At 38.5% G+C, this 18,275-nt stretch overlaps 1 protein-coding gene across 19 annotated transcripts in view; it reads left to right on the plus strand.

The window, feature by feature from the left end:
- The window catches only part of NPAS3 (neuronal PAS domain protein 3), an 869,389-nt gene that overhangs the window by 730,354 nt on the left and 120,760 nt on the right, over nucleotides 1-18,275 (plus strand). For all 19 annotated transcript variants that reach the window (XM_017021582.2, XM_017021583.2, XM_047431678.1 and 16 more), the window contains one exon: nucleotides 11,073-11,247. In XM_017021582.2, the coding sequence (XP_016877071.1) occupies nucleotides 11,073-11,247 (175 nt within the window). The remainder of the gene's footprint in view (nucleotides 1-11,072; nucleotides 11,248-18,275) is intronic.

Below are 18,275 nucleotides of genomic sequence, written 5' to 3' on the forward strand. Positions count from 1 at the left end.
AAATATGGCACATATGCACCATGGAATACTATGCAGCCATAAAAAGGATGAGTTCATGTCCTTTGCAGGGACTGCATGTTCTCACTCATAAGTGGGAATTGAACAATGAGAACACATGGACACAGGGAGGGGAACATCACACACCCGGGACTGCCAGGGGGTCGGGGGCTAGGGGAGGGATAGCATTAGGAGAAATACTTAATGTAGATGACGTGTTGATGGGTGCAGCAAACCACCATGGCGCGTGTATACCTATACAACAAACCTGCATGTTCTGCACATGTATCCCAGAACTTAAAGTGTGATTAAAAAAACAAAACAAAACAAAACAGGATGACTTTGAACAGACCTTTTCCGTAAAAGGTGACATTCAGTAATTGCATTGTTTGTAACTCAAAGGATAAATGCTTGAGGGAATTGAAACCCCATTCTCTGTGATATGCTCATTCCACATTGCATGCCTGTATCAAAACATCTCATGTACCCCATGAATATATGCATTTACTATGTAGCCACAAAAAATTTTTAAAATAATTTCAGAAGTTTTTTAAAAAGTTGACATTCAAACCCACTGCTTAAAAAGATTTACAAATAAATTCTTCCGAATTAAACCTCAGAAAAAATAATTCCAGAGTGTGGTTAACAGAGCAAATCCTGTCTCTAATTAATTAATTAATTAAAATTCCAAAATGCACCGTGGGTTTTGTGTTCACCTACTGGGAAAAAAAAAATCGTCCACCATAAACTGAGATCATTCCAGTGTAGCATATACAGGAACAAATGAGATAAAAATCATGGGTCCAGAGCTTAAATGTGTAGGATAAGAAGTTAGCTCAAAGTGTGCCAATTATCTAGGCCTATGTCTACAGTGAGACAATTGTCCTTGTGGTACCAACTTGAGAAGAAAAATGAGATAGGACATTTCCTATAAATGATTACTTGAACCTGTTCTTTAGTATTTTAAAAGGAAGGGGAAAACGGTTAATGAACGCTGGCATGGATCTATCTATCTCTTTAGGGCCTAAATCAATCAATCACTTAGTGTTAGTGAGCCTCTGCCTAATGCTTCCCCAACATCCTAGGCTTAGTCCAAGAAGAGTGTAATACACCACCCCTGCTCTTATAAGCTCCAGTGCAGTTAAAACCCTCTTGTGTCCTGGATTGCTCCTATCTTTTCATCCAAGCCACCTGTCCTTACTCATTCTTTTCTCTGTGAGGAGTCAGAATGGGAGTTACTGTCCCAGATGCTTTTGGTTCACAACCACCTCTGGGTGCAGACATACTAGTGCTACTCAAAGTGTGAATCGTGAACTAGCAGGTTCAGCATCACCCAGGAGCTTCCCAAAAATGCAGAATGTTGGCCCCTACCCCAGATCTCTGGAGCCAGAATCTCTGGGAGCCCATGCTGCATTTTAAGGAAATCCTAAAGGATCTGGAGAAATTTGAGAGGCAGTGACCTACAGTAGTCTTGTCAAAAATTATTCATCTACTACATTGTGTTGTCATATTTTTTTTCATATTATTTGACTTTGTATGTGTTTTTCTTCTCTCTCCAAAGTGGACTGTAAGCTACATGGGGGCATGTGCTGAGTTTCTATGTTTCTTTTAATTAATTCCTAAAATCCCAAATGCAATGTGTTACAGGGAATAAATGATAGATAAATACATGATTGACTAATTAAATGTACTAGTTCGGTTCTTTTATTCCATAGACATTTCTTTATTTCTGTTATCTTTTACTATCTTATACCTCTTCCCTTTCATGTCATTTTCATGTTCTACTCCAAGGATTCTTGCTTCTAGAGCATCACTGTTCAACAGAAACACATTGCAAACCCACATGAGTAATTTTAAATTTTTCTAGTAGCCGCATTTTAAAAAGTAAAAACAAGTGAGAAGAATTTCAATGATTAGCTATTTTTATTCAATTTCACATATCTAAAATATTATTTTAACATGCAATCAGTATAAAACATGACAGTTTGCATTCTTTTCTTTATATTTTTGTACAAAGTATTTAAAACCTGGTGGTAATGTATACTTATAGCATATTACGAATCAGAGCGGCCACATTCCAAGCACTCAGTAGCAACACCTGACTCGTGCCTTCCATATGGGGCAGCATAGCTCTAGAGACTATTCCTGGATAAACAGCAAAGGTGCCTGAAACTCCTGAAATAAAATGCCAGATTACATGTGTGTGATTACAGCATTGTTCTGGTGAGACAAGACATAGAACCTATCAGGTTCTCAAAAGGGTTTGCTCCCTCACCACCACCACAGTCCTCTCAAAATACCCTAAGATATACAGGATTTTAGCCTCTGGAATGAGCCATTTCTTTTGACCCATTTTTTTCTACTTGCCAGTTCTATTTACATTCTCTATCCAAGACTAACTCAGTCTGTTATTAAACAGTTGTGAATTTAACTTATTCCTTTAAAATAGCACCTAGAGAGTGTTTAGGGTATTGACTTGCTTTCATAGAAGATAACCTCAAACCCTACCACAGTTAGTAGTTACAATAACCAAAATAAAATAGCAGTATATTAGGCCTTTTTCTTATGGTAATTCACAAGAAATAAATTATACACCATGGCCATGGTGCACACATGGTATTCGGGAGGGTCAGTGGTTAATCATGGCGTGAAGAATTTTGTTCCTTCTTGTTCTCCTAGTGGATTAACTCCCCAAATAATTTCTTAACATGGGCTAACCACCTATATTCTACAGTGGCTAAAATATTTTAGTATACTTTGTGGTTTTCCAAGATTTTTTTTTTAATTTTAAGTTCTGGGGTACATGTACAGGATGTGCAGGTTACGTAGGTAAACGTGTGCCATGGTGGTTTACTGTACCTATCAACCCATTAGATAAGATTTTTAAAGACCCCCTCATGGTGACACGGAGAAGGAGAGCCAGTTGTTTCAAACACAGCTGCAATAGCATTGACATGATGCTCCAATCCGAACAAGATCCTCCTTTGGTTTTGCTTTCTCTTAAAGATTTCTTGAGGTCTACAAACAAATTATCTTTGTTAAATCTTTCTGGTTTTGCTATTGTTTTTTCGCGCAACAGTATCACTCTTAAACATTGTGACTCAACTCCTGGTGAGAACCACTGTTGCTGATCTTCCACCATACAGTAGCCCCTTTGAAAACACTGAGGAACGACTAATTGTATGATTTGTGCATTTTATTGTTTATTATTATTTGGATGTGTAATTGTTATATGGGTGCATTAAGCATATCTAAGGTTTTAGTCATATAAACCACATTATTTTACTGTGACCAGAATAAAATTACTTTGTAGCTTTCATAACACAAATGGAAAAAATCATCCCCAGAATTATTATGGTTTTCCTAATCCAGTTACCTTTCTTTAAAATATAAGAGCTGGGCTGGCGAGGTGGCGCATGCCTGTAATCCCAGCACTTTGGGACGTTGAGGCAGGCCGATCACTTGAGGCCAGCAGTTTGAGACCAGCCTGGCCAACACGACAAAACCCCGTCTCTACTAAAAATACAAAAAAATTAGCCAGGCACAGTGGCTCAATACCTATAATCCCAACTACTCCAGAGGCTGAGACCGGAGGATCGCTTGAGCCCAGGAGGCGGAGGTTGCAGAGAGCTGAGATCATGCCACTGCACTCCAACCTGGGTGACAGGGCGAGACCCTGTCTCAAAATAAAATAAAATGGCTGTTTAGAATCAGGGAAATATTTAAATTTCAATCTTACAAGCATTTTCCACTCTTTCTTATTCATGCAATCAAAGGAGGAGGACAAAATTCGCTATGAAAACAATAACAAAAATTGAGACGTATTGATACTGAAGTCCGGCTATGCATAACACTCATCTCAACATGTATCCAGCTTTAAATGACAAATACGGAAACATGTAAAATTTGAGGATAATGGATTAACTATGCCAATATCAAGGATTTTATGTTGATTGGTCTCCTTACCACCAAGGTAATGAAGAAGCTTTGAAAGTGACATCTTTCTTACTATTCATTTGATCTCCAGAAAAAAAGAAACCGACTTCAGTTACTTTTAAGACTGTTAATGTTTCTTTCTTGGCATCGTTTCACTTTTTACTATGATGTAACCTCTAACAGCATCCTTTTGCCTTCTCAGCACTGTGATAAATACTAAAAAGTTGGCCTTTTCTCCCCTATAGGCACTTGAAAAATTCAAAACTATGGGAACCTTGTAAAACAAGGTTTTAAAATTTCTTGGTTTAGTCACTTTCACAAATCCCTGGGCTCATTCCTGTGATGTAATATCCCCTCAGTATTAAGGCATTCTCTAGGTTCTTCTTTTAACTGATGTCTCTTAAGGAAAAGAAAAGGATATTGACACATGAATACTGTTCTAAAACCACTGCTTGCATAGTATGGTGTGATGGAGGTATACCTGATCTAAGATTACAAGAAAAAATGAAATGCAGCGTATAATTTACCCTTAAACAACAAAAATGGGGGAGATCTTCAAAGAGTTTGTGGACCTGTTTTATACACACGCTATTTCTAGAAGTATTTAAACATGCTCACTTCCAAATAACTGGGCCCAATGAGTCTCAATTAGTAGCTGCATTTTCTTCTTTATTTCCTCTTTGACTCTATTTCCCCGACAGTCTGCTTTGTTCTTTTTCTTCTCTGAGAACTAGGAGACCCACTGATCCCCTGGAATTATCTTCTGGCACATCTTAACGTTCAGAACTGGTTATGCAGTATCTCTTGTTTTTGTTGTTGTTTGTTTTTTTGGGGGTTTTTTGTTTGCTTTTGTTTGTTTTTGAGACAGAGTCTCACTCTTGTCACCCAGGCTGGAGTGCAATGTCGTGATCTCAGCTCACTGCAACCTCGGCCTCCCAGGCTCCAGCGATTCTCCTGCCTCAGCCTCCCATATGCAGTGTCTCTTTGGGTGCTGCGGTTGCAATTTTCAAGTCAGGCACTCCCGGAGTGATAGAAAAATGTACGTACAACAAAAAACGTACTTAATGGATTCCCATGGGAGCCAAAATGTTTATTTTTGAAGATAAAATAAACACATGATGTGGTATCTTCTAGCTAAAATTCTTCTAAGGGAAGCCTCTGTTAACATATCTGTAAAAAGAGAGCGGATTCGTGTTCTTATTTGATGACACAGGAAGGATTTTTCATTCTATCTCATCATTCTGATATAGAACCTTTCTTCTTGTTCTACTAATTTATACACGTATTTCTGTAACAGACCGAATGCTTTTATGTGCTTTTCTTCAGATAAGTCAGCAAATACATAGAATGAGACAGAGCAGTAAAGAACATCAAGTTTCTGTCAAAACAGTTCATAAATATTCAGTGGAGTTCTGCAATATGTAGGAAGTTATGAAGATGGCATTAAGATACCGGTAAATCCAAAGAAAACCTATGCTAATCAAGCTATCATATCTTATTATATTTTATTCTCACTTTATTATCCTTCAATAATATAAATGTGACCCCCCCTCAAAAAAAAAAAAAACTACAAATCCTGACCTGCTGTGGTGAGATAGAACTTCCACCTGATCCTGGCTCAGGATTTTCTAACCAGGATGTCAGGGTCTCTTGCTAGATCTGAAGGCCTCACCTGGGAATTTAGTTTCCAAGCCACTTACCACAAACAGAGTCCTCCCTCAGGAATGACCTTTGAATGACCTTTTATTCAGATATTGCTAGCACTCACTAAGGGAGTGGGGCCTGGATGCAGAAGGACTCCTGAGAAAGAGATTAACTAAGAGCCCTTGTGGTAACCTCAATGCCCTCAAAGTATTTTTTAATATCAGCCTTACAAAAGCTTTATGACATTCTACCTTAAACAGTAGGTTTTAAATGACCCTTTCTATTGATAAAAATCAACTTTATATTGTTCCTAAGACTGAAATATTCTAAAAGAAAGAAATATCTTGAAAATAGATGTATGGCCTTTCTTTATCTAAGCATTCTCTTAAGTTGTTCCAATATGGAGATAACTTACAAGATCACTGCCTACTCCTCATCTGCACCAAACCCCTTCAATCAAAGAAGCACTGAATTCAATGAGTTGCACTGTTAGTACATCACTGTAGTTAAAAAGTATTGCTCACTCCAGGGGAGCAAGCAAAGGCTATTGACATGCTTGCTTGATGTATGAAAAGACAAATTAGCCCCCCCATCCTATCTACCAGCAGGGTACAATGACCTGACATGGAAAAGTCAGCTCAAACCACTGTACAATATATTTACATTTTTTTCCAGGAAACTTCAGAGTTACCAAATCAGCTGTGTCTAGTGTGCAAATTACATGCAAGCTAACAGAATGTGAAATAAATTTGAGAAAGGCTGTGTGGTTTAGCTTGACTATAGGATATTCTGGATGGCACTAGTGACTATGGCTTGTCCTGGAGGAATCTATGGTAACATTGGGCAGGGAAAGGCAGGAAAAAAAGAGTTTAAACAAAATGCTGTTTCTGGATGTGATTATTTATTACTTGTTGCCTATCTATCTGCTGCCCCTGATGCATTCTCAGCTGTTTTGTAATACACTAAGCAACGTGAGAGAGTAAGTAAGTTCTCTTCCAGAGTCATTCAGCTGGAGTAAAGTTAGACCAAGTGGGTGAAGTTGGAAACAGTCATGCTTCCTCCTTCTTCTGCTACTAGAGAAACAGTTCAAAGATCAATGGGTCTGTTATCTTGAGTTTCATAAACAGAACATGGATTTTTGAAGTTCTCACAGTTGCCTTAGAATGCAATTTGCACTAATCAGAAGAACACATTATTGGAGGGGGGAAAGCTCTACTTTTCCATTAGATCATAATTAAGGATTGAAGACAGGACCAATAATTAATATAAAATGAAATTTCTCTAAATTTCTACTATTGGTGATATCAAGGGATAGTTAAGAAATATTAATTTTTATGGAACTATGTTACAGTTCAAATAATGAAGACAAAAGCGTGTTAACACCTGAAACTAACCAGTTAAACAGAGTTTTGCCGTAGATTGGAAACAAGTGGGTTATGAAAGACAGACACTATTCTCTTAAAGAGTTTCTTAAAACCTGTCCCTTCCCGGCATTTATACAATCCCATCCTCAGCTAAACTCAAGGCCTTACTGCAAATAGATAGATTATGATGCTATATTATAATACATTTTAAGGAATAAATAATGTTATTATTACAATGCCATTATACTAACATAAAAGAACCACCTTAAACTTTTCCAAATCAAGTACAAGTAAAAGAAATTTTTTTTTCAGGCGCAAATATCCGTTCTTTATTCATTCAACAAAATGTTTGTAATATACCTACTAAACATAATAGACTAGTCCTAGCTCTCAGCAGGCACATGTTTTGGAAGAGGTGGTAACAGAAGATTTAAAGGTACCTAATTAGCATTGGATTGGAGCTCTATTTATTTTTCCAACCTGAAGCTAACATGAAGTAATGTCTGTTCATCAAGCAAAAAATTCTCCGTCTTGCTGTCTGTAGTCTATTTTGAGGCACAGAATTTAGTAGCAGGAAACATGAGTTCTAGTCTGTCTCACCTGGTGAGTACCCATAAGAGAGAAAAAAAAAAAAAAATCAGACAAGGGTTTAGTGGGAAAAGTGGTGGACTGAGAATTAGACAGTTGGGCTTACAGCCCTGTTTCTACCACTAAACAGCTGGGTAAACTTGAACATGCATTTTAACTTCTCGGGACTGTAGGGCTTTTTCCCATTAAATCAGGAGGTATTAATAGATGGTTTTTAAGGTGTCTTCTGGCTCTAAAATTTAAATGAAATGAAGTCAAAGCAGTATGAGAAATGTTGAAAGTGTTAGATACATGTAAGATGTGATGATAATGATGACAATGACTCAGGTGCATATATAAGTTGACCTTTGTCTAATCCTACCTCTGTTTTGGTTTAGTACACCTCCTTTAGTGCCTTCTTTTGGCCAAAGAGTTCAATGGCAAAGCATCTCCAGCTCCAGGGGATTGGCAGGCTGCCTGCCCTCAGCCTCCTCCCTTCATGGTGTTCAGTGTTCTTTCCTGAATAAAGCAAGGCTGAAGCACAGGGGAACTCAGAGGTCTCTGCTTAGCCTCTATGGCTGCCAGTGCTACTACCTGAGAGGTAATAGGTCAAGTGGGCTCTGAACCAAATTCTGTTTCCACCCTTGGCCTTTTCCAGTATTCAGGTTCTTTTGTAAACTGGACATGATCATACCAGTTCAAAAGATTGTTATGAGGATTAATCAAAGCAAAGCACAAAAATTAGTACTTTTTGCACATAGTGGATAACTGCCAGTATTGTTATTGTTAAGGCTGAAAGCATGTATCACCCCCTGCTGACTAAAATGATGTGCCAAAGTGGGACACAAAATTACACAATAATATACATTTCTTCATGTCATTCATCCTGATCCACCAAACAGCAACAACAACAAGACATGTTTGCGGTGATTACTTCTCACAAAGTGATTTCTTCTGCATAGTTTCACTAGATTTTCAAAATTAGGCTGAGAGGCAGGAAGACCAAGTCTTGTCTTCTTCCCAGCTCTCCGGGCCACAGCCTGGCACCATTCCCAAGGAACACAACTCCAGGGGAGCATCCATGTGGAATACAATGTGAATGGTTCTCCTAGGGCCCTGCAGAGCAGCAATGCTGCCACTTTTAGAAGAGGAAACTGAAGCCCAGGGAGGTTAAATTAATTGTCCAAGGTCACACAACTGAGGAGGAAGATTCTGGTCTTGAAGTCAGGTTATGAGTCCAAGTAGTGGGGCATTCCTCCACACTGTGCAGCCTTAACTACAGTATACATATAAACACTATGATAGTGTCAAACTCCCAGTGCCCACCTCGCCCTCATCATTAAGCTTTGAGGTATGTTGGTGGGAAATCCCATGAGGCCACAGGGAGAAAAAGTCCTCACCGTGCCCTAGTGCTCTGTGGCACATCAAGACTCAGTCTTGCCCTAGATGTGCCATACTCCGGACATTATTGTATAGGAAGGAAGTATCTGCACATCCGAGCAAATCAGGATGTGGAGAGAGTGGCCTATTTCTGCTCTCTATAAGACTGGCTTACATGAACATTCAATAACCAGCTCCCCTAAAAAAATCTATTTTATCTGCCATTTGTGTTGTCATCCTATCACAATCTATGGTCCGTGCCAAAATGCACATTGAAGTATTAAAGGAAAAAATTAGTTTGAGAAAAGTGACAGAAATATTTACGAAAGTGCTACAATTGGACTCCATGCAAAACGAGAGTGACTTCCTCATATTCACTAATCTCCAAACAAAATAACCATCATCAAGAAATATTAAAACACACATTTTATTAGTTCCATTTAATTTCTTAATTGCTCAAAGTCAGTTTACCCATTTATTACTGTGTGAAGTGCTTAGAGGCAAGGCGCACATTAAAGGGATTATTTCCATGTAATCCCCCCCTCCCAGAGGGTAAGAGCTGATCACTGTGAATCCCGATTTACGCTCTGTAGCAATAACAAATGGAGGAAATGGGGATTGTAAAATGATATAGTCAGTGGTTGGGTGATACAGGAGGAGAGTGCAATTTAATAGCAAGAGAAAAATGCCTAATTTTCCGTAAAAGTTACGCGAGCCTTTTTCAGGAATAGCTATTAACCAAACTGAATTTAGCCTCCTGTTTTTCTGACTATACCTATGTTAACTGATAGATGTGGAAGATCTGCAGCCTGTTAAGATGTTAATCAAATGGAGTCTGGGAGTAGATGTGATCATATTACCGGGACTTGGAGTTCTGGGGACAAGAATTGCTCTGAGTATTACAGTCTCTGTGACAGTTTTTCCACCGCCAGTCTTCCCTCTTGACATGAAAGGGTGCAGGCACGCAGGTGGAATCTGGAGGGATGCTGGAAATTATCCTGGAAAGGGAAGTGAGGTAGGCAGGGGTTCTAGGTAAATATCCACCAAGAAACTTGTGACAGTCTGAAGCTCTGGCAGCTTCCATGGTACGTCATAGCTGGCCTGAAACCATTGCACTCCGGAGGACCGGGAAACCCATTAGTGACCTGGGAAAGAGCTTTTGCTTGTCCTATTGCTGACATATCTCTCCCTGTTGTATGTGCATGTAATGTAGAGCATTACCACTATTCTTAGGAGATAAAATTTAGAGCATTAGAGGAGTACAGAGGTAAGGCCAGTCCTTACCAGCAACTTCTGCCCCTTCAGACGGCGCACAACTCAGACGCAGGGGTCATGCCTGACAGCATTAAAATAGTCAGTGCCTCTATTTCAGGCTGAAACAGTTCTGATATTTGATATTCATTCTCTGCCTTTAGAGTTAGTTAGAGAGTTAGCCTGATTCAAAGAGTATACAAAATAAAACATTTTTTAAAAAGCCTTCAAGGAGATTTGTACTATGTATCCTATTAGATTGAAGGCAAAACAAGCTGATTGCAGCAGAAAAAAAATATGGCTGCTTCAGACCCCAGCTGACCTCTTTTGTATGGAAAATCCCTCATACGATTACAGAGCTAATGAGTAATTTTTAATGAAAACATTATGCCTTTGCATATATTTGTAAGCAGCCCTTCTTACATTTAAATTTACATGGAAATCAGATGATATGTATAAAAACACATCTTGGAAATCTGTGTATTTTAAGGAAAACACTCGACTGCTATCTCTGGCTGTTTCTATAGCTGTTCCTATCCAAAACCCAAACTTCTCAATAAGAAAACTGTAGAATTCAGTCAATCATGTGGTTGACACCAAACACGCAAGTATTTGATGATGCGTGGATAAAACAGCTGAATACAAGGCAGACTCGTCCACATTTCACAGAATGTTTGGCTTTATGCAAACAACAGTGTGTGAGGAAAAAAAAAAAAACTGAGCTTAACAATTGCTAAATAAATACATGTGAAAAAATCTTTCTCTTTCACCTCAAGAATTCTTAAGTATTTGAAGATGAAGACAGAACCAGGATTGTTTCTGGGACCTGAATGTATTTTCTTTTCTACTCAGAATCTGAATCACTGTGTTGAATTTGAAAATGGAGAAGCCTATATAATGTCTTTCCTTCCCACCCTTTCTCTCGCCCTCTAGGTGGAGCTGACAGGCAGCAGTGTCTTTGACTATGTCCACCCCGGAGATCACGTGGAGATGGCTGAGCAGCTGGGCATGAAGCTCCCCCCTGGGCGGGGTCTCCTGTCACAGGGCACTGCTGAGGACGGAGCCAGCTCAGCATCTTCCTCCTCTCAGTCGGAGACCCCCGAGCCAGGTGGGAATTGCAAACCCAGTGTGTGGGTTGGTGGGCAGGACCTTTGCCAAATGAGTGTGCTCAAGTTACCCATGTGAAGAGACTATAAATAGGTCTAAGGGTATTTAACAATTCCATGCAGCTTCCAGTCCCATGCAGTAATTAAATAAGGAAGAGATCTGAAAATAAGGAGACATTTTAATAAGTATAATCCAGAGATCTAATTTCAGTTGAACAATACATGTAGAAGGTACTAGTTCTTTTAGTTTCTCTTTCAAATTACTAGAGGGAACAGCTTCCGATTTGGAATACCCTCTTCATTTTATTGTTACCATGGCTAAATGTAATGCGTTTATTTATTATTCAGCAAAATCTATGGCAGAGGCATTCCAAATAGTAGCTCGTGGAGAATTAAAAGTATCAGGGACTTGTAGAAATCTTGGTTTCTTTATTTTTTTAAAGCATCAGAAGGTACTTGAAAGATGTGAACAGATAAATTAAGGCTAAAAAGAAAACAGAAATGGCTACATTTTAAACTGCCTTTCTACCCTCAGTATTTAATTAGATCAATTGTATAGAGGAATGAACAGAGGTGACATTCCTCATTGGGATTCCTTCCAGGACTCTTATAGACTTTGCATTCAGAATGTTCCCATTTTCATTGTGTTGTACTGATGATAATTTAAGTATTAGGGGAAAATCCATTTATAAATTAAACAAAATGACTTGATATCCATCAGTCCCCTAGTTCATCAAGCTGTTCAAACACGGGGAAGATTGGCTGGTCGGCCTGGGTCTTCCGAGAGCGCTGGTAATTAGATCTGCGAAGGATTTATTCTTTGCTGATTGGGGCTTTAAATTAATTGAAGTTCCACATTTGTGGTTTTGTCCTTTTTGTACTTTTTTAGAGGAGATATTTCATATTCTTGTGTGGTGGAGTGCTTGGCCAAGCAGCAGTGGTTTAAATGTTAATTTTTCTCATGAGAAGTTTAAGATTTTTTGATGAATCAAGGCCTGATTTGAAGTGCAAAGTTGTATTTGCTTACTTGGAAAATTATTTTTTCACTCTTCAAAGATGCTTGTACTTTACTTGATCTGTTGTTTTAAAATAGATTCGTAATACAAAAGCATTTTATTAACAAGAAAAATAGAAAAACCTATGTTAAGATTAACATTAAAATAACTCAACATACTTCGAAGACAATAATTTGGCCTGCCTAGAAGTAATCACGATATGTTTTCTCACACAGAAGGAAAAAAAAAAAACAACACACATTTGACTCTTGGAAGTATTTTAAGAACCAATCCATTTTCCTCACTGAAGTTAACTGTAGTTTCTAGGGCATTCATTATTCTTAGCATTGGTGATCATCCTTCTTCAGTGAGCCCCACACATGAGAAAAGAGAATATTTAAGATTATTCTTTACCTTTTAAAAATGAAAATACTTTTGTTCAGGTGGGCAAGTGATATATTCTTATACCATAGCTCACTGACTTTACTGAGCAGCTATGTCAGCGAGATAACTGGAACTGTTTTTTAGTCAATAGAATGTTCATATCTGGGCATATTTGAGAAACAGCACATGCAAACGGTTTTCTACTCTTTCATCCTGATGTTGGAGAACCTCTTCCTCATGACTCAAACACGCAGCATGAAAGAATTTAAGTTTCTAAGCCTTTGTATGAGGGAAGGTCTTAGAAAAGTTTGTTTCCTTGAATCACAAATGCTCAAGTTTGAAAGGATCTTCATGATCCTTTTATCCAACCTCCAACATACGCAGCCAAATCTCTACAGCAAAACCAGCAGGCAGCCTTTCCAGTCTCTGCTAGATTCTGCCCTGATAGGAAGCTCATGAACTTGCGAGGCTGCCCACTCCCTTGTTGAGTAGTTCTCGTAGATAGTTATGCCTGATATGGAGCCCAAATCTGCTTCGCTGCAACTTCCCACTGATCCAAGGTCTGCCCTCTGGGACATTTCTGATTTACTCCTTCTTCCCTATCCTAGCTTCTCACACATGTGAAGTCAATTACATCAGATCCTCCTTTCCTCCTGTCATCCTTCTCCTTTCCAGGTCAAACAGTGCTAATTCACAACCCTTATTCAATGGCGTGTTCCTAAAAGCCTCACCATCCTAGTCATCCTGCCCTGGCTGTGCTTCAGTTTGCAGAGAACCCTCTAAAAATACAGTGAAGAGAATAGCACAGCCCTCTAGATATATTCTGATTAGTGCAAAGCAGAGGAACTGTCACCTTTCTCAGGGTAGGCTACTATACTTCTCTTAATGCAGCCTGAGGTTAAATTTGGTCTTCTTGGAAGCTAGATCATCCTGTCAATTCATACTGAGTTTGATGTCTCCCCAAATACATGTTGACAGTGAGACTTTGGGAGAAAAAAAAAAAAATCCACAGCCTGTAAACCAGTTCTGCTAGAGTATCCTAGGCTAGAGTCTAAATACGACAGCAAGCCCAAATAAATATGTCAATATAAGAACTCTCATAAATCCCATGCCTTCTATGAAGCCCTAGCATGCATAAAATAACCCTAGGTACACTAGTAGAACACAGTTCTTACAGATTATTACTTCTAGACTGTAGGAGAATATATATCTCCTTCAACTGTTAACTCTCTCCTTTAAAGGTACTCTATCAATCATTTAACATTGAAGTGTGATTGAAAGATACTACAAATTTACTTAGGTTTCCTTCCCCTGCCTTCACCAGCCTTCCTTTAGCCATCCTTGCTAGTGAGATTGAAAACTCTGCCTTCCACATCACTTGACTTGGGCTCATCAGCTACACTCGCATAAGAAGAGGCCCTCTTCCTTGATGGTGAATGTGACTCTCACCAGTAGAGAACGTTAAGCTACCTTAACCTTCAAAGTCTGCAGTGTTGGTTATTTTCTATCTGGGGCTTAAAAGAGCAATGAGATTGACTGACTGCTCAAATACTGAAAAGCAGTGTAGGGTGCTACCTTAAATGAAATATCTTCACTAATGCAGATGATGGCTCCAAGGGAATTACTTAAAAAGTTCATGTCAGGCACTACATCACAAAGCTGCTTATGTTTCTTAAAAGCTGAAAGAATTTTAACAAGATTTCCTAATTCTTAATAACTAACATGAAGGAACATTTTTGAAGACTGTTGTTCATTGCATCATAATCTCTTGAACTCTGATAAAACACAGATTCTTTTTTAAACGGTGTAATTTAGTTGGGAAAGGGATATTGATATATGGTTATTATGAAAATGAAAGGACTAGTAGGTATGGAATTTTTCAGAAGCCCTGATGTGTTCAGTGTAGCATTACTAAATGACTGGAATCTAAATAACATTTGGCATTATAATAGAAGGAAATAAGTGACTAAGCCAGCCTAAGAGGCAGTGATACTATGCCACAATAGGAATTCTGTCTCTTTGAACTGTCAGCCCTGAGATTGTCTTGTCCTGACTCAGCCTCAGGATAATGGAGGAGAAAAAAAAGATCCATTGATTGTACAGCAAACCCAAATAAATATTTTATATGTATGCACATTTTTTAACAGTTTAGTCAATGTATTATCTCAGAGAAATCTTAAGTCAGGCAAAAGATAAATGAGTGGCCTTGTTTAAAATGTTATAAAGTCCGAGAGTGCCTATTTAGGGGTTGACTGGAACATTTTGGAAGAGACTGCCCTTTGCTGTCCTGCAGGCTCCCGCAGTATGAGGAGCACAGAACCTCTGACCAATGGCATTTGGAGGGTTTTCTTTTTGCAGATCTACTTGTGCCTTTTCATTATTACTCTTAATGATTCTGCCATCTTGGGATTATGAGTACTATCCTCATCTTTTTCTTAAATTTCAGTGCCATGCCTTTTAAATGCTTAGTAAACAGAAAAGCAGCTCTCAAGAAATCCTGGAGGAACTTTAAAACTCTTCCTATGTTGAAGGCAAATAGTAATATTCTCTATATTAGGCTGTAAAAGTGTTGTGTTTTACTCCTTCTTCCTGAATTCAGGGAAAAAGGAGTAAAGACCACCACCATCCCAACTATCTAGAAATAACCATTATTCATATATATGCACTACGTACCCTCCTAGATTTAGTTTCTGTTCCTGTTCCTGTGTATGTAGGTATGTATGTGTTTGGTGGGGTTTTTTGTATTTCTTTCTAAAATAAGATTGTAATGCATATACTTCTGGTAACTAGCTTTTTCATTTTCATGTTTCTCTAAGATAAAATTCCCTTTCTGTCTCCAGTGGTTTGCTTCCCACCAGCGAGTGATCAGTTTCTTCTGTAGGACCCCTGTCAGGAAGAACATGCCTGGATCCTACTTCAGAGAGAACTCAGCCAGGGCAAGGGGCTCTTGTGGCTTTTTGGGTGGGTGTGAGTTCATAGAGGGGAAAATCAATACTGTACCAGGATTTAGACAATTTAGCAAAATGCATGAGGCAGTACTTTGGATGATGAATAACTACAGCTGCATGGCTAACCCATTGGTTGTGTAAAGTATGGGTTATCATGTTTTGTCTAAATTTTCAGGCAAAATCTAGCCTGTTTTGTGGCATTAGGATCATCATTATAGTAGTATGATTTTTATGCTATTATACTTACGCTATGTCCCGAATGTTTTTAAGGCCAGCAAAATGGAAACAGTAGAGTACTTGCCTGAATGCAAATAAACTTCAGTTTCAACTTATGCCTCTGTGCTATGGTAAATTGCTGACTACTCCTAATTCTACAGAAACAGGAGCTCAATTCCTCTGACATCATTAGATGATTTTCACAGTAAGCGGTATAATTAGACTAACAAATGTCTAGGAATAACCATAAAGAACGTAAAAATTTATCTGAGGATCGGATCAATATTTTGTATAAAAAAACGGCTTGGATATGACATATACTTGTACTTCTATGGGTGAATTATTTACCATCTGGTATATTGTTGTGAAGGGATATTTTTTGTATTGGGTCAAGATTTCTATCAATGAACTGAATTTAGAAGTTAGGCAAGGGAAACCATCTTACTAACCCCACATCCAACCCCAGTCCCCAGACAATGTGACTGTATCTACAGCACTTTCTGCTGTACTGCAAATGTCAAACAGAAGGTGTAATGGATTTAATATTAGCGCTGGCCAAGGTGTTGAGGGAGCTGTTAATAATGTCACTCCAGTTATTGATCTGAAGCCTTTAAAAATCAGGGAAAAGTGAGAGATCCCCTACTGGGGAAAGGCATACAGTGACTGATTTTTATTGCCAATATATCTACATATAGAGTAGCAACTTTCTGGAATTATGTTATCACCATTAATCCCATTAATAACTGAGATTTTTGGAGTCATTTTATGGTGAGATAATATCATGGAGACTGCTCAGCATGCTAATACTAAAAGATTGGACCAAGTTCTTTTATACATAAATAGGGCTCAAAATTCACATGGTGAGTACAGCATTCATACAAAGTGTCAAATGATAGAAAGTTCATTCACACTAGATTTATACTTAATGACAGAGTTAGAGCTATTGGAAGGGTAAGTGACAAACAGTGTAGTCGAGTGGTATGCTACTTTTGCCTTTCCAAAATTCTGAATACAAACAAACAGTGTAGTGACTAACTTAACATAGAAATGGAATTTGTTTGGACAATTACTGCACCTTTTCAGGAAACTGCTAATCCTTCAATCTGAATGGCAGTTTGTATGCAATGAAATTCCTGCTTTCCATAGTCCCCAACTAATAAATGAAATTAAAATGTATAATTTATGATGAATGTTTATCAAACTGTAAACACACATTTAATTGCTTTCCATATTCATATACTATAGGCAAAGATAAATCCATCAGATAAACTACCATAGTGATCTCTGATGGATTGATTTAAAATGCATTCCTACTGGGGCTGTAGCAATGATCGGGACAAGTTCACGAGTCCCCCAAATCGGTCTGACTTCTGTTAATACCCAGCTGTGCCTGTATGCGGCAAATCTAGCAGTCAGAAAGCAGCCTCACTACTAATCCTTTTGTGTAACCCAAAGAGATCATCATTTAGGCATAAACACAGCTTTTATCCAAAATTATCTGTGTTTCTTAACTATGTCATCATTAAGAACTTACCTTCTTGCCAATCCTGAAATGAAGATGATGGGTGCACTCCAAAAGCAAGCCAGTGCTCTTACAAGGACTACCTTGCCAAACCTAGAATGATTCTTTTGCCTCAAAAAAGCTACCTTGATGCAGTACCATTTTTTCATGAGCGAAGTAGGCTATTTTTAACTGTCACCTTTATCCCCAGCTAAGCTAAACAAGATCCCCTGGAACTGCCACAGAAGGGAAAAATGTTCTCCATTGCTTTTTTCTGGTATGCAAGGCCTAGGCATACTTATCACCTTAATTTGTGTGTGTTCACACTTTGGTGTGCTTGTGTGTAAAATGAGAACATTTGCAAAGCAAACTGTACTTTTAGAATCTTGCCTGAGGGAGCTAAAGTAAAATCTCTCCTTCCCACTAGGCTCTCCTGGCCCGATAGCTGAGCTCCACCCTTCTAGGCCAGCTCCCAGAAGGCACAGCTGCAACCCCAGGAATCCTTTGGGACCTAATTCCTTGACCCACACGTTGATGACGCAACTAGCTACAGAAGGGCGGCCTCCCTTTTGTTCCCAGAGAAGATGTTGGATCTTGGCACAGTTCTGCATGCCATTCTGAAACTAACTTTCTCTTCTCTTTCAAAATTTAAATCACAGTGGTTACAACTCAGAAAAAAAATACAGCTTTTATATAAATTAATACAGTGATATTTGCAGGGTAGCAAATGTTTTGTTGAATAATAGAAGCACAGGCCTCTTATCAAAATATACAGTAGGTTCTCTCAGTTTATATGCAGCATTCTTTTTCCAAATCTTCTATTGAAGGTTTAGGAAGTCAATTTTTTAAACCCATTATTTTTAACAGTTTTTTCATACAGCTTTCTAGGTCATAATTTTGACTTCTCTTTGCCAATAGTGATTGATAGGGATGTATTTTGCAAGTTTCTACAATGAAACCCAAGACAAGCTGTTAATTATGACCTG

The sequence above is a fragment of the Homo sapiens genome, chromosome 14 (assembly GCF_000001405.40).
Source record: "Homo sapiens chromosome 14, GRCh38.p14 Primary Assembly".
NCBI classification, from domain to species: Eukaryota; Metazoa; Chordata; class Mammalia; order Primates; family Hominidae; genus Homo; species Homo sapiens.